Below are 26,929 nucleotides of genomic sequence, written 5' to 3'. Positions count from 1 at the left end.
GATATATTACCACACTGTTTAAATGAATGATACAGAAAGCTTACAAACTGGAAACATCAAGCTACCTGCCCATCTCTGCCTTGTCACCTGGCCATCACCATGACTCCGGAGATCAGGCTGTTTCAGGCATGCTCTGGAGACAGCTGGAACCACATGGTCTATGAACATCCCTTCCTAATCTGGATTCAATGACTTCAGTTGGTGGCTTTAAATTAGTCACATAGAAAGTCTTTACACCATGGAAATGGGTAAAAGCTACAGATCAGGACCTCTTCTTCCTCCCAACACTGCCCCAAGAGCCCGTTGTTAAACGTTTACCAGCACACTACTGGGCTGTTTCTCTACCACTTGATTGAAATGATCCTTATGGAAGCACAAATGACTTCACTGTCACTAAATCCAAGGGACAATTTTTAGTCTCTATTTTTCTTCAACTCTCCAGGATGTTTGAGAGCTGATCTTTCCCTCCCTCTTGAGCCTCCTCTCCTGCCTGGCTTTTAGGGGTCTCTGCTGACTTTTCTTCATTTCTAAACACATGTTCTCAGGGGTCCTCAGCCTGCAGGCCATGCACTGGTACCAGTCTGTGGCCTGTTAGAAACCAGGCTGCACAGCAAGAGGGGGGCAGCAAGTGAGCAAAGCCTCATCTGTATTTATAGCCGCTCCCCATCACCCGCATCACCGCCTGAGCTCCACCTCCTGTCAGATCAGTGGTGGCATTAGATTCTCATGGGAGTATGAACCCTATTGTGAACTGCGCATGCGAGGGATCTGGGTTCCACGCTCCTTTTGAGAATCTAACGCCTGATGATCTGTCACTGTCTCCCATCATCCCCAGATGGGACTGTCCAGTTGCAGGAAAACAAGCTCAGGGCTGCCACTGGCTCTACATTATGATAAGTGGTAGAATTATTTTATTATGTATTCCAATGTAATAATAATAGAAATAAAGTGCACAATAAATATAATGTGCTGGAATCATCTCGAAACCATTTCCCCCACCCCGTCTCCATGGAAAAACTGTCATCCACAAAACTGGTCCTGGTGCCCAAAAGATTGGGGAGCGATGCTCTACACAGTCCCCTTCCCCCAACAGGCCCTGAAATGTTCGTGTTCCTCACAGCTCTCTTTGGTCACTGAATGTGTCCTTTAAGACAAGGCTGGGTCATGACTTCCTCCAGGAAGCCCTCCCTGACCCACACGGTCTGGGTAATGCCCGTTTTTACAGTACCCTTTATCTCCATCACAGTTGAGTGTCTATGCACATGCATGGCCCCTTGGCAGGAAGACCAGAACCTGGAAGGCAAGAAGTTGGAATTACAGCAACAATAAGCAAAACAATAGTGACAAACAGCTGCTACTGGCATGCATCATCTGCCCGGCACCATTCCAAGAGCTTTCAATAGATTATTCTATTTACTCCTGCACCACTCCTGTGATTTCTCCCACAAGACTCCCGACACTGGTAGGGCTGAAATAACTTGCCCACGTTTACACAGACCAACATGAATGCCGAAGGGCCAACATACTTAACCATTTTCTACAATGCCCTTTCTAGTTTGTGTATCTCCAGAACTCAATCTAACATGTTTGAAGTAAAAAGCAAAGATAGAAGAGACGCGGGATTTTATAAAACTTGATATTCTGCAGATTCAATACAAGTTCTTGTTTATCATATTCAGTGAAGAAATAAGATAGTTCCTAATTCCAGTTGACTTTAAACATCTTGCTCATCTGTAGTGGTGGCTCTTTGCAGATGCCATTTGTTGTAGAACACAGCCTCTGGTTCCCTCCTGCCAGTGCCTGAGTGACAAATATTAATGCATCATGGAAGAAGAAAAGCTGTTACTTAAAAGCTGACAGTCTGAAATCTCTCCACACATAGCTAAACACTTTAAACCACATAAATATGTTTGTTCTTTTTTTGAGACAGAGTTTCACTCTTGTTGCCCAGGCTGGATTATAATGGCACAATCTCGGCTCACTGTAACCTCCGCCTCCCAGGTTCAAGTGATTCTCTTGCCTCAGCCTACCGAGTAGCAGAGATTACAGGTGTGCGCTACCATGCCTGCTAATTTTTGTATTTTTAATAGAGATGGGGTTCCGCCATGTTGGCCAGGCTGGTCTCAAACTCATGACCTCAAGTGATCCACCCACCTTGGCCTCCCAAAGTGCTGGGATTACAGGCGCGAGCCACCATGCCTGGCCTAAACCATGTAAATATGTTAATAGTTCCCTTCATGTCTGTACATTTTCTTTGATGAATCTGTTTTTATTAAATCTCACTTTCCCAAAAATATAAAAATAGTAAGTACCCTCTGGATTTGAGCTCCTGTTTTCTTTTCTTTCTGTCTGTCTTTCTTTCTTTACTTATTTATTATTAAAGAGACAGGTCTCCCTCTGTCACCTAGGCTGGAGCGCAGTAATGTGATCACAGCTCACTGCAGCCTCCCCCTCCCAGGCTCAAGTGCTCCTCCTGCCTCAGCCTCCCAAGTATCTGGGACTACAGGTGCTTGCCACCACACTTGGCTAAATTTTGTACGTCTTGTAGAGATAAGGTTTTACCATGTTGCTTAGGCTGGTCTGGAACTCCTAATCTCAAGTGATCCTCCCACTGCGGCCTCCCAGAGTGCTGGGATTACAAGTGTGATCCACTGCACCAGGTGCCCTATTAGTTCTAAAATCAAAAGCATCTTCGCATCTGGGTAGGAAAGTTCCAGGATACATTTGAACCATCTTCAAAGTTGTTACTTGTTTTAGATCCTCAGGGCAATTAAAGGGTGCAGGAACTCCTGGAAGGTTTATGCTTCTGCCTCTTCAGCAGACAGACACGGGACCCGCTCAGGGATGCGAACAGTGCAGGAAGATGTTATTGGAAAATGAACACCTCACTAAACGGCCTAGGTGGTTTTCTGAATGTCTCTCCCTAGAACCCACAACACCTCTCATGACAAATTTATCCTTTACAGCGATGCTTTCAGATACTTTACTAGGAGGTTCTCATACAGCAAACCCTGGATTAGCCTCACTAATGCACAGAATGAGACATGCAGATGATAAATTTCTACTTGGCTTTAAAGCCCAGTTGGAAAGGCAGGAAAGAAGAAAGGGAGGGAGGCCGGAAGGGAAAGAAGCATAAATGGGCATTCACTCCACTGGCAGGTGGCTGCACGTATGGACGAGAGAGATGGAACTGGGCTTAAATTATCTGTTACTTCTGGGCCAGGCGCGGTGGCTCATGCTATAATCCCAGCACTTTGGGAGGCCGAGGTGGGTGGATCACGAGGTCAAGAGATTGAGACCATCCTGGCCAACATGGTGAAACCCCGTCTCTACTAAAAATACAAAAATTAGCGGGGTATGGTGGTGGACGCCTGTATTCCCAGCTACTAGGGAGGCTGAGGCAGGAGAATCACTTGAACCCAGGAGGCGGAGGTTGCAGTGAGCTGAGACTGCGCCACGGCACTCCAGCCCGGTGACAGAGCGAGACTCCATCTCCAAAAAAAAGAAAAAAAAAATTATCTGTCACTTCCTTGCTGGAGAACACAGGCAAGACAAGCCTCAGGTTTCTCATCTACACTTTGCGAATGATAATATCCAATCCCCAGCAATCTCCGAGTGATTAAAGGGCACATACAGACTTCAGAGTTGGGCGTGGTGCCCGAGACGCCACAGGGATCAACGCATGAGAGCCCTGATTATACATACGGCAGGAGAGAAATGAGCACGTGCAACCCCTGGTTCTAGGCATGGGGCAAAGGGAGACTCCACAGAGGAGGATGTTTCAAATGTCCTTCCCAAACCATCAGGAAACCACGAGTTAAAATCCAGCCATCCATTCTGAGCCCTGCCCAGGGAGGGCCGTCCGTGGTTCCTACAACTATCAGGCAGATCTCAGAGCCCAAGCCCCATCGACTGATTTTTGCCATCTTAAGAACATCAGTACCAGCTCAGCCAAATGGGTTAGGCGGAAGTAGGCAGGTCAGGACAGTGGAGGAAACGTGCGTGACCGACTCTGTGCCGGGGTCGCCTGGCATCCCTGTCTCTGACTCCTGAACTGTCTGTCCCTAGTAGGTGCTGTGTGTGAGGGGCCCATGGGGCAGAGCAGAAAGTGATGCCCGATTCAGAGGCCCCGCGCTCCCTCCCCTGTGGTCCCTGAGCAGCCGCGGCTCACAGGAGGATGACGGCACCTGCGTTGTTAACTCAAAGGAAACGGTTATTCTGGCTGCTTTCAACTCCAAGCGGCGTGGCTGTGAAGCAAGCATGAGGAAGGGGCTTGCAGTTTTGCCTTTTCTCCGACCTCGATCTGACGATGTGCCCTAGAAGTCAGGCCTACGATGACCTTTGCAATGCTTCTCTCACGGCCAAATTCTGCCCCGTGGCTCCCAGCCCCCTCCACCCCAGAACATGCCCCACAGATCATCTGAGCAGCTGCTGGCACTAACCCCATCCATCCGGGGCAACAGGCTCCACAGGCCCCGGGGAGAGGCTGAGCTGTTTACTTTTGGTTTCTCAATAACTCCTGTTTCCGAGGGCTCTCTGCCAAAGGGAGAGAGAGGGAAGTGGCATCCCATGGCCCTGTCCAAGGACAGCCCAGGGCTGAGGCAGAGCTGGGCAATGCGGCAGTGTTTTCTGGGGCTGCCAGTGGCACCGCAGCCCCCAGGGCTCCCCTCCTTCCTCCCCAACTGTCACCTGCTCACTCCTGAGAAGTGTTTTGTATCATCTCTCTGAAGTGAGTGGGCACAAACTGTACTGCAGAAGTTCTGCTTGGATCACAGAGAAGAGGGTGGCGAAGAGCCACCGAGGGTCAGAGTGGGCCCCTGAGTGGCCTGGAATCACCAGGTGCTGGGCAGGGGTGGGCAGCCAGGGCTAAATGCTTTTGGAAGATGGCACGGATGCAAATACTATCTGCCACAGTAGTGAAGTTCTGGCCAAGGGGTGTATATATGTGTGTCTGTCTCTCTCTTTGACACACATACACACACACACACACACACACACACACACTTGAATGGTTTCTATCCACCATCACACTATATATTAGAAGCCATATGGTTCACAGGGAGGTGCCCTGACCTAGGAGCCAGACCTTCCTAGCCTCATGGCCTTCATGGAGCCAGGCCTGTTATTTTCTCTGTAAAATAAAAGTACTGCACTGGTACCCGGCACGGTGGCTCATGCCTCTAATCCCAGCACTTTGGGAGGCCGAGGCAGGCAGATACAAGGTCAGGAGATCGAGACCATCCTGTATAACATGGTGAAACCCCGTCTCTACTAAAGATACAAAAAATTAACCAGGAGTGGTGGCAGGTGCCTGTAGTCCCAGCTACTCAGGAGGCTGATGCAGGAGAATCACTTGAACCCAGGAGGCAGAGGTTGCAGTGAGTTGAGATTGCGCCATTGCACTCCAGCCTGGGCGACAGAGTGAGACTCCATCTCAAAAAAAAAAAAGAAAAAAAAGGATTGCATTGGATCTGCATTTCCCAAAGTGAGGTTCCATGGCACACTAGTCTCCAGGAAAAGGGTGCTTTGGTCAACTAAGTTTAAAGATGCTTCATACTACCCAAGTAGTCACTCCTTCCTTCTATTTTGGGAGCTCCTGGCACCTACAGGGAATCATATACCTTAGACACATGACAGATGATGGATATACATTCCAAAGTCAACTGGAACCTGAAACATTTGAAGCAACTCCCTAGAAATGCTCAAAATATCACTTGCAGGTGGTAAATTAATACTATTCTTGGGAATGAGTCCATTGGAGATAATTAAAAGTGGCCCTCAAGTTTCTGAGACTCTGAATAGCATCAAGTAAGTACTTCTGGAAAGTTCTCCAGAGAAGCCAAGCACCCTGATGGCGTCTCGGGTGAGGCAAAAGTTCAGCTTCCCAAGGGCCAACACGGCCAAACACTTCTGCTAAGAAGTCAGATTCACTGTATTTTTTCCCTGTTTATCTGATTCCTTATTAACGCCTGTCAGCTTCAAAGACGCTGGCACTTGTACCACTCCCTATTCCCAACTTCCACCATCCTTGGAATTTGTACCTGAATTGTTTGCGCAACCCCCATCTCCCTGCATTGCCTGTGTTCTATGACATTCGTTCACAATGAACGATGATTCTGTACCAGGCACAGGCTTGGTTGGGTGCTAAGAATTACAGAGATACATAAGAACGGGTCCCAGGCCTCCAGAGGCTCACTTCTGTCTGAGATGCAGACAGATAAGTATTTATGATGGGGGGTGACAGGAGCGATCCCAGTATGACAGAGGAACTTAACTACTATCGGAGTCCAGAGAAGGCACAGGCCAGCCCTGCCTAGGGATATGGCCACTGGCACGGTGGCTGGCTATGAAGCAGGCATGCATTTTTCAGGTAGATAAGGGCTTCCTCAGCTTAGGCAGGTGCTGCAAACTCCCAGAGACCTCTGGGTACACAGCGTTTCTAAGGAATGGTAAGATGTAATAAGTCACAGCCAGAGTGTGACAGGTGTGTTCCAGGGCTGGAGATGGGGGAAAGATGAAACAGCAAAGATCACTTCAGGCCCCTTCATGACTGGTTGGAGATGTGATGTTAAGGAGCTTGTTCCTTATCCTGGAGAAGAAGCAAGGGAAGCAAAGAGTTGTACTAAGGGAGGTGTGTGACTGGGGGAATGGGTCAAGCGGGAAAGAGGGGAGAATGATCCCCAGCGGGTGCTAATCCAGCCGCGGGCTGACTGCCTTCTGCACCCTTCTCATGGCTGTCCTGGAGCCGTGTTCTCAACCCGAGGTCCCACTCCATCGAATAGCACAGGATGGACTGGAGGAAGGCAGGTGAGAAGGCCAGGTAAGGACCTATTACAACAGCAGAAGTAAAAGGTGACAGTGGTCATGGGTTCTGGAGAGGTAATGACACACAAGTCACATTTCAGAGGCTGAAGCCATATGATATAATGATCAAGGACAGGCGTGCACGGGTCAGGGTGGGAGGCGGGGTTGACCTGGAAGGAGGTCCAGGTTCCTGGCTTCAGGCACTGCGCAACTGGTGTCCCAGCAGGACGCAGCAGGCAGAGCCAGTCTGGGCGGGGAGGAGGAATCCGGAATGCGGACATGCTGAGCTTGAGGTCACTGTAGGAAATGTATTAGGAAACATCAACAAGCAGTTAGAGGCCAGGCGCGGTGGCTCATGCCTGTAATCCCAGCACTTTGGGAGGTGGATCATCTGAAGTCGTAAGTTCAAGACCAGCCTGGCCAACATGGCGAAACCCCATCTTTACCAAAAATATAAAAATTAGCCGGGTGCAGTGACGCGTGCCTGTAATCCCAGCTATTCAGATGGCTGAGGCAGGAGAATCACTTGAACTCGGGAGGCAGAGGTTGCTGTGAGCCAAGATCGCACCACTATACTCCAGCTTGGGAGCAACAGGGCGAGACTCTGTCTCAAAATAATAATAATAATAATAATAATAATAACAAGCAGTTAGAAAGACATGTGATGCTTATGGGAGTCACTGTGGGTCCAGATCCACCACCGGTCTTTGCTCAGACGTCCTCAACTTCCCCTTCCCACACAGACAGAGGCGGAGTGTGTAGGCAGAGCGGCCTCCATGCGTCTCTGCAGGCCCAGTGCCATTACGGACCTGAAACAATGCAGGTCCTCCCCAAACAAACATTTCCTAAGTGCTCAAAGAACAGCCATCGCCTTTTATGCTGACATATTTAAATAGAGGCACTTCTGGTGTGCCAGGAATTCACAGCAGATAAAATGGATCTGCTGCCCAGGAGGGGTGAAGCTGCCCACTCTCTTCTCTAATTCAGAATGCTCCCACACCCTGTGCTCTGTCCCAAATGGCACCTGCTCCTACAAATATAGCTCCTGTCACCCAGGAATCTTTCTTTCATCAGGTTGTTTGCATCTTTTCAGGGTTGGAAAAGTCATCGGTGAGAGATTTCCTGCTATCTGTAGACCACCTATGAACATGAAATGAGAGACTGTGAGTGGGGATCGGGTGCTGTGGCTCACACTTGTCATCCCAGCACTTTGGGAGGCTGAAGTAGGGGGATCACTTGAGGCCAGGAGTTTGAGACCAGGTCTGGGCAATATAGTGAGACCCTGTCTCTACAAAAATGAATAAACAGATAAAATAAAAGATTGTGAGTAGAGATATAAAATGAGTTTATACAGGGCTTTCCTGAATTACTTTCCTGTAATCAAACTTTGCCTCAGATAGACGCAGCAGTGGTTTTATAAGACCATAGTTCTTCGGGGAGTATGAGGAAGGCAAACAGAACCACTGGGGGAGATGCTTCAAATCATAAGACAGGCATTCCCCTTGTTCTGGAACATTCTGAAGTCCCATCTACTATGAGTGGTTCCAGAATGGGCCCCCTGCCACAGGATCCCTTGCCCTGGGCAGGACACACAGGTAGAGGGGGCTTCTTCCTGTTTCCTCCTAAGAGCTCAGCTGCCTTGTCCACAGGTACCTAATGCACACCAGCTGAGCTGAAACGAGCTACCGAGGCTAAGACGATTCTGCAGGGGAGAAGAAAGCCCTGCTGATGGCTTGCCACTGTGTTTAGAATTTGTCTCTTTAAGAAATGAACTGAGGCTGGGCACGATGGCTCATGTCTGTAATCCCAACACTTTGGGAGGCCGAGGCGGGCGGATCACGAAGTCAGGAGTTCAAGACCAGCCTGGCCAACCAGGTGAAACCCCGTCTCTACTAAAAATACAAAAACCAGCCAGACGTGGTGGCGGGTGCCTGTAATCCCAGCTACTCAGGAGGCTGAGACGGGAGAATCACTTGAACCTGAGAGGCAGAGGTTGCAGTGAGCCGAAATTTTGCCATTGCACTCCAGCCTGGACAATAGAGCAAGACTCTGTCTCAAAAAACAAAAAAGAAGAAATGACTTGAGACTCTCACATAAGTCTGTGGCAGACTTATACGAGGTGCTGTGGCAGGCCACACACGTGCCAGGTCACAGGAACTAGAGAGCTCAGGTCATGTGTTTTCATGTCATATGTCTATCTTCACATAAGATACAGGCAAGACTGAGTGAAACCAAATTTATCATGCAATGAAAACTTGCTCACATTATTTACAGGACATGGAATGCTTGTAAATAAAAGCTCACACCAAAAAGACTTAATCTCTGAGCAAAAAAAAAAAAAAAACAAACAAACAAAAAAAAAAAACTATCATTTTATCCAGCAATCCCACTACTGGGTGTCTACCCAAAGGAAAGAAATGATTATATCAAAAAGATACCTGCACTCATGTCTACCACCGCACCACCCACAATTGCAAAGATAGGGAATCCACCTAAACATCCATCATTAGAAGATTGGACAAAGATAATGTGGTACATGCATACCGAGGAACACTATTCAGCCATAAAAAAGAATGAAGTCATGTCGTTTGCAGCAACATGGGTGGGTGGAAGTGGAGGCCATTATGTTAAGTGAAATAACTCAGAAACAGAAAGCTAAATACCACATGTTCTCACCCACAAGTGGGAGCTAAATAATGTGTACATGTGAACATACAGAATGGAGTAACACACGTTAGAGGCTTAGAAGGGTAGAAGAATGGGAGGGCATGAGGGAGGAGAAATTACTTAATGGGTACAATGTACATGATTTGGGTGATGGTTACACCAAAAGCTCAGAATTCACCACTACGCAATAGATCCATGTAACAAAACTGTACTTGTACTCCTTAAATTGATACAAAACAAACAAACAAAATCTCTGAGCAAACATCTTGCAGGGTTAAGTCAATTAAAGAGAAAATTCTTTCATTATCGGACTTCTTGGTTGCTAAAAAGGAAAAGTGAAATGTCGCCAGATCAACATTTACTAAACTCTTAAGGTGCTTGGAATTTCCTTGGAATCAAAACACACGTTCACTGACCCCTCTATATTCTGTTAAAACAAACCAAGCGTGAGTAGGTTACCGAGTAGGGACTCTTTCTAGGTTTGCCTGGCAACATAAAGCTTGAGCTCTGAGTGAAAACGTAGGGCCCATTGTTTCATTCCATTGTTTCTGAAGTCCCCCTTGAGTTGAGGAGGTCTCAAAGGGAATGCTGAACTAGAAACAGGGGGGCCCACCCAGCTTCCCATGTAAGAAGCGGGGAACTGGAGTCAAATATCCTTGAGTATCTCTCCTGTTTTTTTCTTTCTTCTAACTTGGGTATTTTTACAAACTTCTATTGTTCTGCTATTTCCTTCTTCCCACCCTCCTTCCCTCTCTCTTCGTAATTTGAGACAAGGTCCCACTCTGCTGCCAAGGCTGGAGTGCAGTGGCACAATCATAGCTCACTGCAGCCTCCAACTCCTGAGCTCAAGTGATCCTCCTGCCCCAGCCTCCTAAGCAGCCAGGACTACAGGAACACGCCACCACATCTTGCTCGTTCTACTGTATTTTCTTAAAAAATAAAGCCAATTGTTGACAAAAGGTTGGTTGGTTTTTTATTTGTTTGTTTGTTTGCCTTAATGTGTGCATTTAACAATCCTCTAGCTGATGATAAGGGATTTATACAATTCTGCAATTCTTCTCATCCCCAGAAGCTGGCAATGGGGAGGCTGCAAGCCCTCCTCTGGGGCCCGTGTGGAAAAGTTGTGAATACCGATGCACTATGACCCAAATGCCAAGAGCTCACAAATGCTCAGAAAACACCAGCATCTCTTCATGGAGGACACAAAGGCCAAAGTGGTAGGACTGCTCCTCTCCCTCTCCTGATCGTGTTCACGTTGCTCTCTTTCTACCACGAATAGGTTTGTCTAAAAGGGGACAAAAAGAAACCAACACAAATGCATTGCTGAGCCAAAGACTGGCTCTTTTCTTCTTACTTTATGTCTGTCTCATCCCAGAGGGTTTCTCCTTTGAGGCAGTGCACTGCCTACTCTCTGATGCCAGGTGGGCACGATGAGGTCACAACACCTCCTAGGATCCAGTGAGCCACATGCTTCCTTGGTCCACCCCACACCACCCCTCCAGCTCCAGGAGACACCTTATTCCACCAGAACCTACAACGCAGCTGCATCCCGCCTCACTGAATGGACAGAATTTCTCCCTTCCACTCTCAAAATAAGATGCAGCAGGGAATCACTTCCACCTCCAATTCTTTAAGCCAAAACCTTCACCATAATTTTTTACAACTCAAGAAAACACAGCGACTGCTCCAAGTAACCCCCAAAAAGATACTCAGTTAGCCTAACTGTTCAACAAATAATGATGATCATTATATGCGAGTTATTGGCTGTAGGAACATATGAACATACAATTCCCAGAAACACCTAAGGCCTTTCCTAAATCATGGGCAGGTCACACCCCCTCTCTGAATTCTATGAATACCTGAGCATTCTCGTGCATCATTACTCAGAAATTGTGTACATTCGTGCTAATTCCAAAGTAGTTGTTTCCCTACTCACCTCCCACCCCAAATGCAGAGATTACATCACATCACACACATCGAGATATTTTGGTCTTTGTAGGCCTCGTAAAAATAGATTTGTTATATCCAGGCATTGCACATAGAGCCAGTAGCATGTTATTTGCAAGATACGCGTTAAAAGGTTGACCCGTATTCGTTTAATTTTGCTTCTACCCCTCCAGGCTACACAAGCTCAATGGACCACCTCAAAGTAAAGGCTTTTCCAGAAACCCACCAGTACAGAGCCCTTTTCCTCCCTTCAGACCTTCGGTCCTTTCTGCATCCCTGTAGCCCAGACAGTGATGCTCTATGACAAGCATCTTGTCAGACTGAAAAGAGCATCCACGGTTTTTAAATCTCTCAGTGGGGTGTCCTGAATCTGCAGGAAGTGGTGTGACCCGAAACAGATTTCATTTTCCTTTGAAAATGAGACTGCTTCCTGAGATATGGAAAATGCTGCCCAGTACATAGTAAGTACTCAAGAAATAGTAGTTTAAACTACTCTAGAGAGCACAACCTGATGTATCTTGAGAGCCCCTTATGGGAAAATTATCGACATCGTTCGAATTTTACCATGCTGGAGAACAGCTGCAGGAAATGAAACAATCCCAGGCTGAAGTGGGAACCCACACCTAATCGCACGCTCTGAGCAGCTGCTCTGCCATGATGTCCTACCACGGATGCACATGAATAACAGAAAAGCAATTGAACATCCTTAAGTATTTTCATTTTCACAGCAGGGACCCAGGTTCTGCTATTGCTTTCCCGTGGCAACACTGAAAATCAAGGCATGAATGAGTTCTTTCTGAAGCTAAAAGTGATTATCTTTTACCAAACAAATGTGACTAGAGTGCTTGCATAGGAGGATGTCTGCAACTTACAAATGCGTGTGTTTCACGGCATCGTCCATCTTAATGTCAGCTCTTCAAAGACAGGACTGTGCATGTTGTTTTTTCCTTATCAAGCACAGGGACAGATGCAGTTGGTGCTGACGTGTTTTCTGTTATTGTTTGATAACGATGCCAACACCAACACTTTATGTCCAGGTAACTGTCTCTGAGTGTTCTGATGGTAGAGTACATCTCCCAGAGATCCAGTGAGAGCATAAATAAAGGAAGCAGCTCACATCAGCAAATACAGGGCTCCTTCATCTTTGGATAGAGGGAACAGCTGATGGTAGGAAGTGAAGACAGCCCTATGGGTGGCCCAGGAGACCAGTACAGAAGAACTGGCCAAGGATCTGAATAAAGCAAGGATTTAAAGTCAGGAAGGCTACAATCCACAGGAAGGAACCGGCTCCCCACAACGCCCTCAATGAGGGAACAACTGGGCCATGGAAGTGCCCCTCTATGAAAAGTCACGTGCCTCTGCATAGGGTCTAATCCCAACCATTCCTTTGCCTGGTAGGGGCCCCAGAGCCCCTACCATGAGGGACCTGCTAGGAAGAAAGATCCTTTAGCCTCCAGATGGTCAGCGTGTCTGTGGGAGTCAGCGAGGAAACGGTCAGCCCAGAAGGCCAATGACCGTGGGCAGGCAGAACTGAACCACAAGGCAGTGCTTCAAGAAGGTCCTGGCCTCAGTTACTGGAAGTTCAATGTCAAGTTTCCTAAGCACAAACATTATAGCTGAGTTCAGTTCCCAAGGGGGTGATGGATGCTTCCCCAATCATGGAGGGCAACCTTGCATTCAGGACAAGGAGCAGCCACCATACAGACCACGTGCAGTTTTCAAAAGCATTTTTCTTCTTTCCAAATAGATACTGCACCTCCAACTGCTTAAACCTAGGGAGGCAAGAAGTGCTAAGCTTCCCCACAAGGTTACAAGCTCCTGCACGGCAGGAGCTGTGTATTTTTTATTTTCCATCCCCACTGATGGGTGCTTTGAAGGGGCTCAATAAACGTTGGATGAATTAGACCCTGAGCTCCAGAGATAATAGCCTCATCTTAGCATTTACCTTGAGTATCCTGTTTCACTAGAGTGTTCAAAGCAAAGACAGGAACTTTGCTTTCAATCTCTAAACCAGTGGGAATGTTAATAAAGACACCTAAAAAAACCACAAGAAAAATGCAGAAAAGAGAAAAAAAATTACCAGGTCTAAAAAAAAAATGTGGGTGGGAAAGGGGGACTGGAGGCCAGGAGGAGTAGACACTAGTGATCAGAAGCAGAGTGAACACAGTGTCTCCAGAGGAACCTACCAGTTTAAATTCTAGACCCCACCATGGGATTTCGGCATCCAAATCTTTGAGGGTAGGGACCCAGAAACCATGATTTCAGACAAGCTCCTCTACTGCTCCCTAAGTTTCAATACCTCTCATCTACAGGTTTCAGATGGACTCTACCTAGAAATCGGTACCTAGGAGTAGCTCAAACTAAGAGATTTGGAGTGTTAAAAATATTTAACTGGGAGGCCACTAGGCTGAGATGGCTCCAGCACCTTGGGTTCCTAGGTAAGCCAAATGAAGCCCAATGTAAACTGTAAAGTGAAATGTAAGCCTAACCAATCAGAAACTGCCAACTAACCTCTAACTGGGGACCTCCCACCAGATCACACCCAAATAAGGCAAACCGCTAGCTGGAGCCAATCAAATAAATGCTTTACTTTGCTTCCAAGTTCAGCCTATAGAAGCCCACTGCTCATGCTGCCAAAGCCTAGATCTCTGAACCTCTTCTGTTTGTGAGGGCTGCCCAACTCATGAATCCTTTAATGCTCAAAGAAATTCTACTACATTTATTTTGTCGACAGTTTCTCTTTTAAAGGGGGATAAACTCAACCCCTCCTCCAAATGCCCACACTCTCCTCACTTCCTGCTTTCCCTTCTTGGGTCTTCCTGGGCTATGTCCCTTTTTAGGACTGAAGAGCTCTCTCATCTCCACCCCTTTTAGGGTGTCTTACTGCTTGCCAGAAGACAAAACCCTAACAACTCCTTTCCCAGACTCCCCTGCAGCTGGGTTCCATGTGTGGCCTGACTCTCCCCCAAGCAGAGACTTAGCCCTGGAAAGGAGGGAAGGCAGAAGCTGCTACTCATAGTAGGAAGCGATGAGATGCATTCAGAGTTGGCTACACAGCTTTCACAGCCCAGTGCAATACAAAAATGCCAGGCACCTTGTTCAAAAATCAGGAGGAAATACTTTCCCCTTTCTTCTGTGGTCTCTTTATTGACCTGTCATGGTATTTTTAAAATTTGCTATCTAATGTCACGCTTCCTCAGGTGGCAGTGGTCTCTGGGTGGGACCAGAAAGTGGGCAGCTGAACACTCACCCTGGAAACATGGTCAAGGGGTAGGGGACAGAACGGGCTATGGACAGAAGACGCATGGCCCAGAGCACGCACGTTGGACTTGACTTACAAAACGCAAATGCAAAGATACAATCAAGACATTCAAGATGGGCCTGGATCAATCACCCCACCTCAGATGCAAAGGTCCCAGGGACCAGGCCCAAGTTCATGAGCCTAGAATCGGGGGAAGGTGTATTCCACAAGCCAGCAGCATTTTAGTGACTGCCCACATTCTGATAATTCCTCAAGTTCCTAGCTTTAGCAAAAGAAGAATCTCTCCTAAAACCATCCTTTTTTTTTTTTTTTTTTTTTTCAGATGGAGTTTCACTCTTGTTGCCCAGGCCAGAGTGCAATGGTGTGATCTCGGCTCATTGCAACCTCCACCTCCCAGGTGCAAGCGATTCTCCTGCCTCAGCCTCCAGAGTAGCTGGGATTGAAGGCACATGCCACCATGCCTGGCTAATTTTTGTATTTTTAGTAGAGACGGAGTTTCACCATGTTGGCCAGGATGGTATTGAACTCCTGACCTCAGATGATCTGCCCTCTTCAGCCTCCCATAGTGTTGGGATTACAGGCATGAGGCACCACACCTGGTCTCCCCCAGATCACCTTGAAGATCATGCCTGGAACCTCAGCATGGAGTGAGTCTCCTTCCCCGCCTTTCATTGTCAGTGTCAGCACTTGAAATTCTCATCACCCTGTGCTTAAACCAGCTGGAATCATTTCTGCTTTCCGCAAGTGGATCCTGACCTATATAGTCAATTCCTTCCTGCAGCCTGGGCCTGGCTGCAATATGGCTGCCCCACCTACGTCAACCACTTCCTGGGACTTGAACACCGCATGAGGCCGAGCAGATGAGAACCACACGTTCAACCTCCTGGAAACAGTTTCCTGATTTTGTTTTTGTTTATTACCAGAAAAGGAAGTGTCTGAAAACTATGTATTTTCCAGCAGACAAACTGCCTGTAACCTAAACTAGCCTTTAACTTTCCAACCATGGGAAATGTTTCTATATCTGACAGAAACGCTTGAGTTCACTGACTCCCTGAAAGTTTACAGCAGGAAATGAGAAGGGACAGAAACGTAGAGCCCATTGTCATTGGCCCACTTGGTGGGTGGTTCCACATTCTGTCTGACTCTTGGCTGTGGTGGAGGCCGAGTGCTGACAGCCTCAACTGTAAGGCATTCAAAAAGCAAGAAAAATACAAGTGAAATTAACCCATCCCAAAATGTCACTTTGAAATTAGCTGCCTATAAAAACAAGGATCACACCTATAGGCTTAAACGTGGTTGAACAAAACAAACTTGTTTTGTATAAAAGAAATTACCACATCTTGAGATGCTTGGGGTAGGGTTGCTAGGTGGTGCCTGTTATTTTTTCTTGCCCCAAATCACAGCAATGAGAATTTGACATGTCCACTGTTCCTCCCTGTAATGTGGATGTTATCATGCTCTTAAGCTGAGCTCACCTCTTATAATGACAGAACTTCACTCCCATGATTGTGTTATTAGAGTGCAATGGCACGATCTCGGCTCACTGCAACCTCAGCCTCCAAGGCTCAAGTGATTCTCCTGCCTCAGCCTCCCAAGTAGCTGGGATTACAGGCATGTGCCACCACGCCAGGCTAATTTTTTGTATTTAGTAGAGATGGGGTTTCACCACGTTGGTCAGGCTGGTCTCGAACTCCTGACCTCAAGTGATCCACCCACCTCGGCCTCCCAAAGTGCTGAGATTACAGGCGTGAGCCACCGCGCCTGGCCATGTTTTAATGAGAGAAGAAGGCAACGCAACTTCCAATCCAGCACAAAAACTGCCTGACCAAGGGCAGACATTACAAGTTGAGTGGCCCAAGCTTGGGAGGACAGGTAAGTCCAGAAGGAGCTAGATTTAGGAGAGAGGGGAGGAAGGATAAAGGCCACAGGCCACGGGGGATGGTATTTTGTTTATTCACAATTTATTAATTAAAAAAAAATTCCAATAGCTTTTGGGGTACAAGTGGTTTTTGGTTAAAGGGATGAAGTTTATAGTGGTGAATTCTGATTTTTGTTTGTTTGTTTGTTTTTTGAGACGGAGTTTCGCTCTTGTTGCCCAGGCTGGAGTGCAATGGCACAATCTTGGCTCATCGCAACCTCCGCCTCCCGGGTTCAAGTGATTCTCCTGCCTCAGCCTCCAGAGTAGCTGGGATTACAGGTGCCCACCACCATGCCTGGCTAATTTTTGTATTTTCGGTAAAGACAGGGTTTCACCATGTTGACCAGGCTGGTGTTGAACTCCTGACCTCAAGTGATCCACCCGCCTTGGCCTCCCGAAGTGCTGGGATTACAGGCATGAGTCAGCGCAGACAGCCTTGGGTCTTACCTTTAAGAAGCTTCAGTCCAGAGGGAGATTGATCATCATGTAATCATACTGTGCAGAAAAAGTAAAGAGTGCCCTAAAACGGGTTCGTTAAACTACAACTGGCCCACCACCTGTTTTTGTAAATAAAGTTTTACTGGAACTCAGCCCACACATTCATTTACATATCATCTATGGCTGCTTTTAGACTACATCAGACTTGAGTAGTTGCCTATATGGCCTGCAAAGTCTAAAACATTTACTACTGGACCCCTTATAGAAAACATTCACTGACCCCTGGTCTGAAAGAGGAAAATAGGAACCCTAATTTGGACTAGAGTTTAGGAAGACTTCCCTGAGAAAGTGACATTTAAGAGGTATGTGAAAGATGAAGAGGAGGGAGCCAGGCAGAAAGGAGAGAACAAGAGAGATTTTAAGCAGAGGACTCTTAGAAAGGAGACTGGCATATTAAAGCATTCTAAGGACTAAGGCAAACATGACTAAGAGAAAGTAGCTGTTACAGGATTTCTGCCTAATAATGAGTAGTATTACTATTAGTAGCCACGGGAGAAATAGTAGCAGTAGGCTGGCATTGAACAATTACTACGGACCAGGCTGTGTTTGGAGCACTTCAGATACATTAATTCTTTTATACCAAAGAGACTTGTGATTTCAGTATGTTTGGAAATAAGGGGCATGAAACTGCATCTGCAGAGCCTTCACATAAAACTGAGAAAACGTCAGTTGGACACATCAGAGAATGGGGGGTTGGGTGGGCTGACAGACACTTGGGGATGCCTAAATCCCTGTCGCCTACCCCTCTAAATACCACGCTGGCCATGTCATTTCTTACTGACACATAAAACAGTCTCTAAAACAAGACAATGTCATCACTTTAATTAAAGTTCATTATTGATGTTTAAAAGAAAAATACTCTTGGCTGGCAAATAATGAACCTTAGTTGTGATTTCAGACTTTCTATCTATATTGAGAAATACTGGAAAACAAGAAGAATCCTCATCTTCAAAATAAGAAAGAAGAATGGATTCCGGAAAGGAGAAAGATAGAGGGTGCCTGACATCTTCCTCCTTGGGAGATCGCAGGGAGATGATGAAATGAAAGTTGTACAAGCATTTAGAAAACACTAAAGTGTGGACTTCAAGCCGGCCCAACCTTCTCTCCTGTCTTAAGTGACCAGGTCTGGAGAATGCCACCAACAGAGTGCATGTCAATTTCAGCCAAGCAATCAACGGGGGCGTTTTCATATTTCCTTTTGAAATAAGAAAAGACAAATTGGCTTTTTTAAGGAAAAAAACAGAAAACAAAAACAGCTGAGCGTGGTGGCTCACGCCTGTAATCCTAGCACTTTGGGAGGCCGAGGGGGTGGATCACAAGGTCAGGAGTTCAAGACCATCCTGGCCAACATAGTGAAACCCTGTCTCTACTAAAAATACAAAAAATTAGCTGGGCGTGGTGGCATGTGCCTGTATTCCCAGCTACTTGGGAGGCTGAGGCAGGAGAATCACTAGAACCCAGGAGGCGGAGGTTGCAGTGAGCCGAGATCGCGCCATTGCACTCCAGCCTGGGGGACAGGGCGAGACTCCGTCTCAAAAAACAAACCAACCAACCAACCCTATTATGTAGATTTAGAGCTGCCTACGTGAACAGAAACAGAGAGAACAGTCAAGTGAGCAGGGCCGGGCTTCTTCCTGGGTCTTTCCCTACGTGGAAATACATGAAGCCCACCAAAATGAGAAAAGCCGAAGCTATTTATTCAGAGCTTGCTATAATAAGAAGTCAGCCACTGTCACCTGTGTTTGGTAGAAACTCAAAGGCAGGCAGAGAAGTGTGACACTTTTTAGTGGAAGAAGGGAAAGCTCTGGGTGGCAGCTGTTGGCAGGTGCCGTAGGGGGATAACAAAAGCAGCCCATCCGGGTGATCGGTTACGGGAGCATATTTGGCCTTCTCTGTTTGGTCCGAAGTTGGAAGTCACGACAAAAATTAGGGCAGCTGCCAGTAATTGATCAAGTCCTGGGCATGCCGGGCCAATTGCTACAGGGGTTATTGGTTGGTTTCCTGGACTGGCTGCTGCAGACTGGAAGTCAGAACTCCACTTTTATATAAGATCTGGCCATTGCCCACTAGAATAATCAATCTCTGTCCCTGACCCCTCTGTGTCTAACACGGGGAGAACAGACTGTTCCAGTCAGCTTTCTTGAAAGCGGCATAAAGAAATTTTAGAAAGCAGACAGAGGAAAAACAAAGAAATGAATGAGCCACAAATTCAGAGAAGATAAAATTAAAAATCGGTTAGCTATCTTCTCCAAGGAAAATCGGAGGCATAAAGATTGATGCAATTTAAATGTACCACAATAGGTAGCTAAAACAATTGTCAGCAATGTCAGCTCTCATGTGACCAGTCATTGTCTAAGTAAGTGGGTGGCTGGTTCATGTGTCACCAGCAATTCCACCTTGGGCAAGTCACTTGATCTCCACGAACTCTCATTGTTCATCTCCAAAATAAACAGACTGAATTAAAATCTCAAGTCCTTTATAGTTCTAAAATTTTCTGCTTCTGTGATTCTAATCATGGATGGCTCTTTTATTCTACAGGCGGCAGCTTTACGTCTGCCCAGTTAGATACATATAATTCATTATGAGCTGATCTGGAAAACAAAACAAATCACATTGTGTTTTGTTCAAGTGCATTCATTCAACAATAATTATGGAACAGTAACTATGAATAAAGTACTCTCCTAGGTGCTAAGGGAAAAAGCAAAAAGACTGAGACCCAGGGCCAGGCAAAGTGGCTCACACCTGTAATGCCAATGTTTTGTGAGGCCGAGGCAGGAGGATCACTTGAGGCCAGGAGTTCACGATCAGCCTGGGCAACATAGCTAGATTTTTGTAGATCCATCTCTGCAAACACTTAAAAATTAGCCAGGCATGGTGATGTGCACCCACAGTCCGAGCTACTCGGAAGGCTGAGGTAGGAGGATCGCTTGAGCCCAGGAGGTCGAGGCTGCAGTGGGCGATGATGGTGCCACTGCACTCCAGCCTGGGAGACAGAGTGAGATGCTATCTCTAAAAATAAAAAATAAAAGACTGAGACCCAGCACCAAAGAACTCTAGTTGAGAAGTAAAGATATGCATATCATTAACTCCGCAGCAAGAAATAAAGTATTCAGTGACCTAAAATGAGACAGAAAGTGCTAGAGAAAATGGCAAATAGTCTGTACAGGCTGCACGGCCTCCCTACAGGCTCTAGAGAAGGATCAGCTTGCGGTTGTGTTTTTAGCATATTATAATTGGCAAAGAACTTGAGCTTGCTTTCAGTGTCATTTGCTCCTGTTCTTTCCCCTTGGCTCTGAGGTTTGGCACATCAGAGTTACCCTAGCAGGTCTCTACTGCAAAGGGCATTTAAAAGGAGGGTTTATGTCAGAATATCAGCAACTCTGTATTTTACAAGATGTTCTGATCAGAAAAATCCCGGACTCAGAAATTACTAAATAACTGCAATGAAGGAGGACAAATGTTCCAAGGAAGCTGACTTTCTTTAAAGTCTGTGTTCCTAGGAAGTAGTAAATGCTGAAAATTACTAATTCCTGCTGCCCCCTGCCCACCCCTATCTGAAGCTACTCCCTGTGTTGGAGGAGCTGATTTTTAAGACAGGCAGTTTCTGAAGACGAGACATTTTCACTGGTAAGAAAAGGGCCAGGGAAGATTTGTTACTTGCTCATTCCGGGCTGGGGAGCCTGCTCTTTCATTTCTGCAGCTCTGCTGGTATCATCCAAAAATGCTTCCATTTGCTCTCATTTAAGAGAAATGCATGCAAATCACAAAAGGCAAAGCAAGCACGGTCAGTGAAGCTCAGCCATGGCCTGCGGGCTTCGTTTTGAAACCACCTCCAGCCACATGGAGGTGGTCAGCCTCTTTTAGACACCAAACCATTCTGGGTCACATTTTGTATGTTTGCACAATCTGTTCCCTATTTTAAAAATTATACAGGCTGCGCGCAGTGGCTCACGCCTGTAATCCCAGCACTTTGGGAGGCCAAGGTGGGAAGATTGTTTGAACTCAGGAGTTTGAGCCCAGCCTGGGCAACATGGTGAAACCCCATCTCTACAAAAAAATTACAAAATGTTATCCGGGCATTGTGCTGTGCACCTGTGGTCCCAGTTACTTGGATGAATTGAGCCTGGGAGACAGGAGGATGGCTTAAGCCTGGGAGATGGAGGCTGCAGTGAGCTGAGATAGCACCACTGCACTCCAGCCTGGGAGACAGGGCAAGACCCTGTCTCAAATATGTGTGTATATAATGTGTCCCTTTATATATATGTATGTATGTATGTAACATGCACCTGTATATAAATATGTGTATTGTATACATGTATATATAGGGGCATGTTATATATACACACACACACACACGCACGCACACACACACACACACATATATACATATACATGTATATATACAAGCACATATATATGTATGTGCATGTGTGTATGTGTGTGTGTGTGTGTGTGTATATATATATACATATGCACTTTAAATTGACACAACTCTCTTGAGTTTGATGCTGTCACTTCTTGAAAAGAAGTTGAGAATGGCAACATGGCTTGTGGTTTTCTTGGATGTCGGGTACAACAGAGTCTTCCGCCCTCTACTCCTTCCTCTGCAGGATGTGGGAGAGCGTTGAGCAGGTGCAGGTGGTGGGGCAGGAGATCTGCATGCCAGGAACAGAAAGTTCCTGGAGACCAAGGCTCCAGGTCAGTTCGCAAAAAGAAAAAAGAAAGAAAAGAAATCACCCAAGTACCGACTCAATATTTGCTCCCTATTTGTCACAAATCCCAAAACAATTAGCGAGCACTTATTGAGAGCACGGTTTCTCTTTGTTTTCCAGCAAACTCTCATGGGTGTGCCTCTTATTTACATTCTGTGACTAAAAGCCCTTAAGGATGAAGCTAGTTTGCAAATTTGCTAAGCATGCAGTCAGCGAATATGCAGGGTGTCCGATCATTATTCTTAACAAGCTCGTCATCTTCCTGTGGCCAAACCAGCTCTGAAATTCTCCCCACCCAACCACTATTGCAAACATCTGGCAGAGCTCCGTGCCTTGCAGACTGTCACCCATTTATGGGACAAAGGGACAAAGAGCAGCTGGGGTCCCCAAATGCCCTGCCAATTTCCATAATTACTGAGCCATCCAAGTTTCTCCGCTCCCTTGGAAATATTCACTTACTTTATATTATCTACGATCTACCAACTCATTTCAACACAACTTAGCTAGGCACTACTTAATATTCAAGTGCTCCCACAAAGCTGCATGTACATATATCCTTAAATTTTTAAGTCCAAATCACCGAGAAAGGCACTATTTAAAAGAGCTTGAAGGCAGAATCTTTAATACATCAGTAAGTGCTTTCTATAGCACAGCCATTCCCTAATTTATGTCTCTGGGTTTATTGATGACAGGTCATACATCTAAAAAAAACAAATCTACGGAGATGCTAAGGCAAACTCTATTCTCTCTTGAGCATCAGATAAGACAAGGGGGAAAATATTTTTCTAAAATGATATGTAAATAGGAGTTGTTTTATTACAAGAAGGAAAGGAATTCCACTGCAGCCTGCATGAGCCACTCCATCTGCACATCCTAAGGAGTCCTCCCTGCCCTCTTCTTCCAGCTGTGTTTGTTAGTCTGGTCCAATAAATCTCAACTCGGGCTGCATATGAAGCCACCTGGGGAGACTTTTTTTTTTTTTTTTAATGATGTCTGGACCCCAGTCCCAGAGAGCCTGATTTAATCCATCTGGAATAGACCCAGGTGGTTTTAACATGCCGCCAAGCCTCCAGAAGCCCCGGCTGTCATCAAAGCTGCTAAGTCACTGTGGATCCATCACCTAACCCAGAACAAATGGAGACAACTAAGAAGTCAATGCGTTTTTAGCTCCAAGTCTCCCTGAATTTTGCATGCGGGATATGATGAGAGGGGCTCCACACTGTTGTCTGTGCCTGCTTATTTTGGGAGTCAGAGTATATTCTAGGAAAGCGATCGTGGGCTGGCTACTCCTCAGTCATTGCTTATTAATTTTCGGTTATTTACCATCACAACCTCTCTTAACATTGCAGAGAAGTTTGTTTTCCCTTAAAAGGAAAGGAACCCATGAAACCAGAGCATGGGACTCAGAGATCATTTCCAACTATCCAACTTACCAAGGAGGAGCCTCAAGCCCAGAGTGAATTAAGTCAAAACCGCTAATGGGAAGATGCCCCGAGTGAGAGGTAACCAAGAAAACACAACCATGGTCCCCATTCTCCTGTAAGGGGTTTCAGAGCAGCCTTCCTGTGAGTCATGGTCCTTATCAGCAGGAGAAGCAACCTAGAAAAGCACTTCTCCAAAGCCGCTCCCAGGCCAGACAAGTTCTCACCTGTCAGTGATGAAATCAAAAAAATAAGTATGGGAACATGAGGGACTTGGAGGTTTGCTTTCATTTATTTACTTAAAAGACTGCTCTTTTTTATGAGATTACATCCATCCCGTATTTTTTATGATTTTAAGTTTTTTGTTGTTTTTTTTCTTTCATGAAATGATTTTAACAACAGACAAGAGGTGAGCAACAGCCTAGGTCTGGTGAGGGGGCAGCAGGAGGGTGGCGGTTCTCTGCAGCTCGGGACACAGCAACTTACTCTCAAGGCTGCAGGTGGGCTGTGGGTCAGGCTAATCCTGGATCTTCTCTCAGTACTAGTTTTGGAGAATGGGTATTGTTTTTAACAAAGGAGTAGATTTCCTAACCAGATAAAGCTAACTTTTCGTGTATGCATCTATCTCCCTTCTTCAATTTTTTTTTTTTTTTTTTTTTCTTTTGAGAGGAAGTCTTGCTCTGTCGCCCAGGCTGGAGTGCAATGGTGTGATCTTGGCTAACTACAACCTCTGCCTCCCAGGTTCAAGTGATTCTCCTGCCTCAGCCGCCCAAGTATCTGGGATTACAGCTGAGGAGGCCAGATGTCTTCAGCTTCAGTGGACTGGAATCGACTTTCTTTAGCCATGACAGAAATGCTATAGTTTTGTGTTAGACTGCTGTTACTAAGAAACAGAATAGAAACAATTTTTTAAATATTTAAAATGTTTTCCAAAAATGTTTGGAAGACTTTCTCCAGGTTTGGTGGGAGAACGCCACTGTGCATTAATTCATGGTGGGGCTTCCATAAATGTTTGGATCTATAAATACCTATGCTCGGAAGGGCTCCATCCAAGCAACCGTTTGTCATAGCAGTGACCTTGGCCAATTTCACTCTTGTTCCAAAAGGCTGAAAGAAGCTGATGATGCTGGTGGCTTACCTGCCACTGCTGACCTTCAATTAAAACCTGTGACAGATGCCACAGAGCACATCAGCCAATGAGAAGAGGAACGGCCCTGAGCAGCACAGATGCTGCGTCCAGAAGCCTCCATGGAGTGTCCGAAGGATCGAGATGGCAGGTCACTGAAGACTGGCTTTAGTGATTGACGTGGTTTGGCTGTGTCCCCACCCAAATCTCATCTTGCATTGTAGCTCCCATAATTCCCACGTGTTGTGGGAGGGACCCAGTGGGAGATAATTGAATCATGGGGTGGTTTCCCCCATACTGTTCTCGTGGTAGTGAATCAGACTCATGAGATCTAATGGTTTTATAAAAGGAAACCCCTTTCACTTGGCTCTCATTCTCTCTTGTTTGCCACCATGTAAGATGTGCCATTCACCTTCTCCCATGATTGTGAGGTCTCTCTAGCCATGTAGAACTGTGAGTCTATTAAACCTCTTTTTCTTTATAAATTATCCAGTCTCGAGTATATCTTTATCAGCAGCGTGAAAACGGACAAATACAGTGGTCCAGACTGAGCCCTCCTAGGAACTGTACTTGGTCATTGCATTTGAGAAACAACTACAGGGTCAGAATGGAGACCCCAGGCGGAGGCAGCTTAAATCCATATTTTTCAATGTGTGGCCTCCAGGCCAGTAGGCCCGGCATCACTGAGTGCCAGAAATGCAGAGTCTCAGGCCCCAGCATCTGGGGACGGGGCCCAGCAATCTGCATTTTCACAAGCCCTCTGGGTGGTTCTGATGACCTTAAATTTCAGGAACTACCAGCTTCAATCTCCAATTATTCCAAGAAAGCCTGGCTGAGCTGTGAAGAATTTCTCAGCGAGGGCTTATCCTCAACAGACCTCTTTGTAGGGGAGGCAACATGTTTGATCTGAACATTAGCTCCCAGCCTAATGACTGACATGATCAGGACATAACCTAGCTGCCCAGCAGTCCAAATGTTCCTGGTAGTCTTTTAAATCTATATGTGACTTGCTTATTTTTGTTGGTTAGCTTTTTTAAATGCAGGAATTGTAAAGCATGTTTGTATTAGGAAGCAATGTGATATTCCAAAAAAAGGCTTCAATTCAAGGAACCTCGATTTTAATTTCAGTTTTGGCAAGCTACTGGGCCTTTCTTTTTCTTTTTTCTTTGGACAAGGTCTTGCTCTGTCACCCAGGCTGGAGTGCAGTAGCATGATCATTGCTCACTGCAGCTTTGACCTCCCGGGCTCAAGCTACCCTCCCACCTCAGCCTTCCTAATAGTTGGGACCACAAATGCACGCCACCACGCCCGGCTAATTTCTGTATTTTTTGTAGAGCTGTGGTTTTGCCATGTTGCCCAGGCTGGTCTCAAACTCCAGGACTCAAGCCATCTGCCTGCCTTGGCCTCCCAAAGTGCTGGGATTACAGGCGAGAGCCACCACGCCCAGCCTACTGGGCCTTTCTGAGTCTCAGATCCCTCTTCAGTAAATTGGATCCTTGATACCCACCTCTTTGTGTTGTTATAAAGTCTGAGAAAAAATATGCACAGCAACAGAAATATGTGTAGTCAACAAGTAGAATATGCTATGACCATTATCACCATCATCACCAGCATGGTCATTATCTCTCCTCCTCCGAGTCATCACACATTTATGGCCTACGTCTTAGACGATGACCTCAATGGCTTTAGTGGGGAAATCCAATTTTCTCTTCCTGGAGAATCACATTTTACTTATCCTTAATTATCCCTTAAAATGTATTGCTACTTTTCCAAATAAAATCAATATACCCTTGTTAGCTTGTCAGTTAAGTACTCACACAAGTCTTAGGGTTCAGGCATCACTTTAAGAATCTGCACTCACAAGACATTAACCAGAACCTGGGATAATCAAGTTCAACTTCCTGCTCTCTAAGCATGCAAAGATAAAAAGGAATATAGGTGCTCCCAGGGTGAAGAAACTGTTTACACTGAAGACACATAAAAACCATCCCAGAGTGCTGACAGGCAACTTGGCTATTGTCATGTCCTGATTATCCTAAATCTGGCTAGTACAATTACACTCACACAGGCCTCAAAAAGATTAAAACACAGCCAGGTGTGGTGGTTCACACTGAAATCCCAGCATTATGGGAGGCAGAGGCAGGCGGATCACGAGGTCAGGAGATCGAGACCATCCTGGCCAACGTGGTGAAACCCCATCTCTACTAAAAATACAAAATTAGCCAGACATGGTGGTGCACACCTGTAATCCCAGCTACTCGGGAGGCTGAGGCAGGAGAATCACTTGAACCTGGGAAGCGGAGGTTGCAGTGAGCTGAGATCGCGCCACTGCACTCCAGCCTGGTGACAGAGAGAGACTCCATCTCAAAAAAAAAAAAAAATAAAACAACAACAACAAAACACACACAAAACCAAAGAAACGTCAAAGGGGAAATGCTACCTGAATGAGCAAGGTCAAAGCACAGAGTGTGGCAGAAACACACAGGGACACTCAACCCTATTCACTCATTTGACAGACAACGTCTGATCAAATTTAAGGGATTTTCCTATTAAGAAAAAAGCATCATCTTTGCT

At 46.1% G+C, this 26,929-nt stretch overlaps 1 protein-coding gene across 7 annotated transcripts in view, besides 2 other annotated features; it reads right to left on the bottom strand.

Annotated features, from left to right (window-relative positions):
- CAMK1D (calcium/calmodulin dependent protein kinase ID) overlaps window positions 1-26,929 on the bottom strand; it is a 485,999-nt gene that overhangs the window by 225,204 nt on the left and 233,866 nt on the right. The window lies entirely within an intron of this gene.
- Window positions 4,540-4,589: an enhancer, noted in NCBI's record as "active region_3047". NCBI's record gives its function as "activates an Ori minimal core promoter by ATAC-STARR-seq in GM12878 lymphoblastoid cells {active_cell/tissue: GM12878}" and the evidence as "EXISTENCE:reporter gene assay evidence [ECO:0000049][PMID:35858748]".
- Window positions 21,962-22,031: an enhancer, noted in NCBI's record as "active region_3046". NCBI's record gives its function as "activates an Ori minimal core promoter by ATAC-STARR-seq in GM12878 lymphoblastoid cells {active_cell/tissue: GM12878}" and the evidence as "EXISTENCE:reporter gene assay evidence [ECO:0000049][PMID:35858748]".

The sequence above is a fragment of the Homo sapiens genome, chromosome 10, assembly GCF_000001405.40.
Source record: "Homo sapiens chromosome 10, GRCh38.p14 Primary Assembly".
NCBI classification, from domain to species: domain Eukaryota; kingdom Metazoa; phylum Chordata; class Mammalia; order Primates; family Hominidae; genus Homo; species Homo sapiens.
Note: the sequence above shows the minus strand (reverse complement) of the source record. Positions and strands in the feature narration are given on the sequence as shown.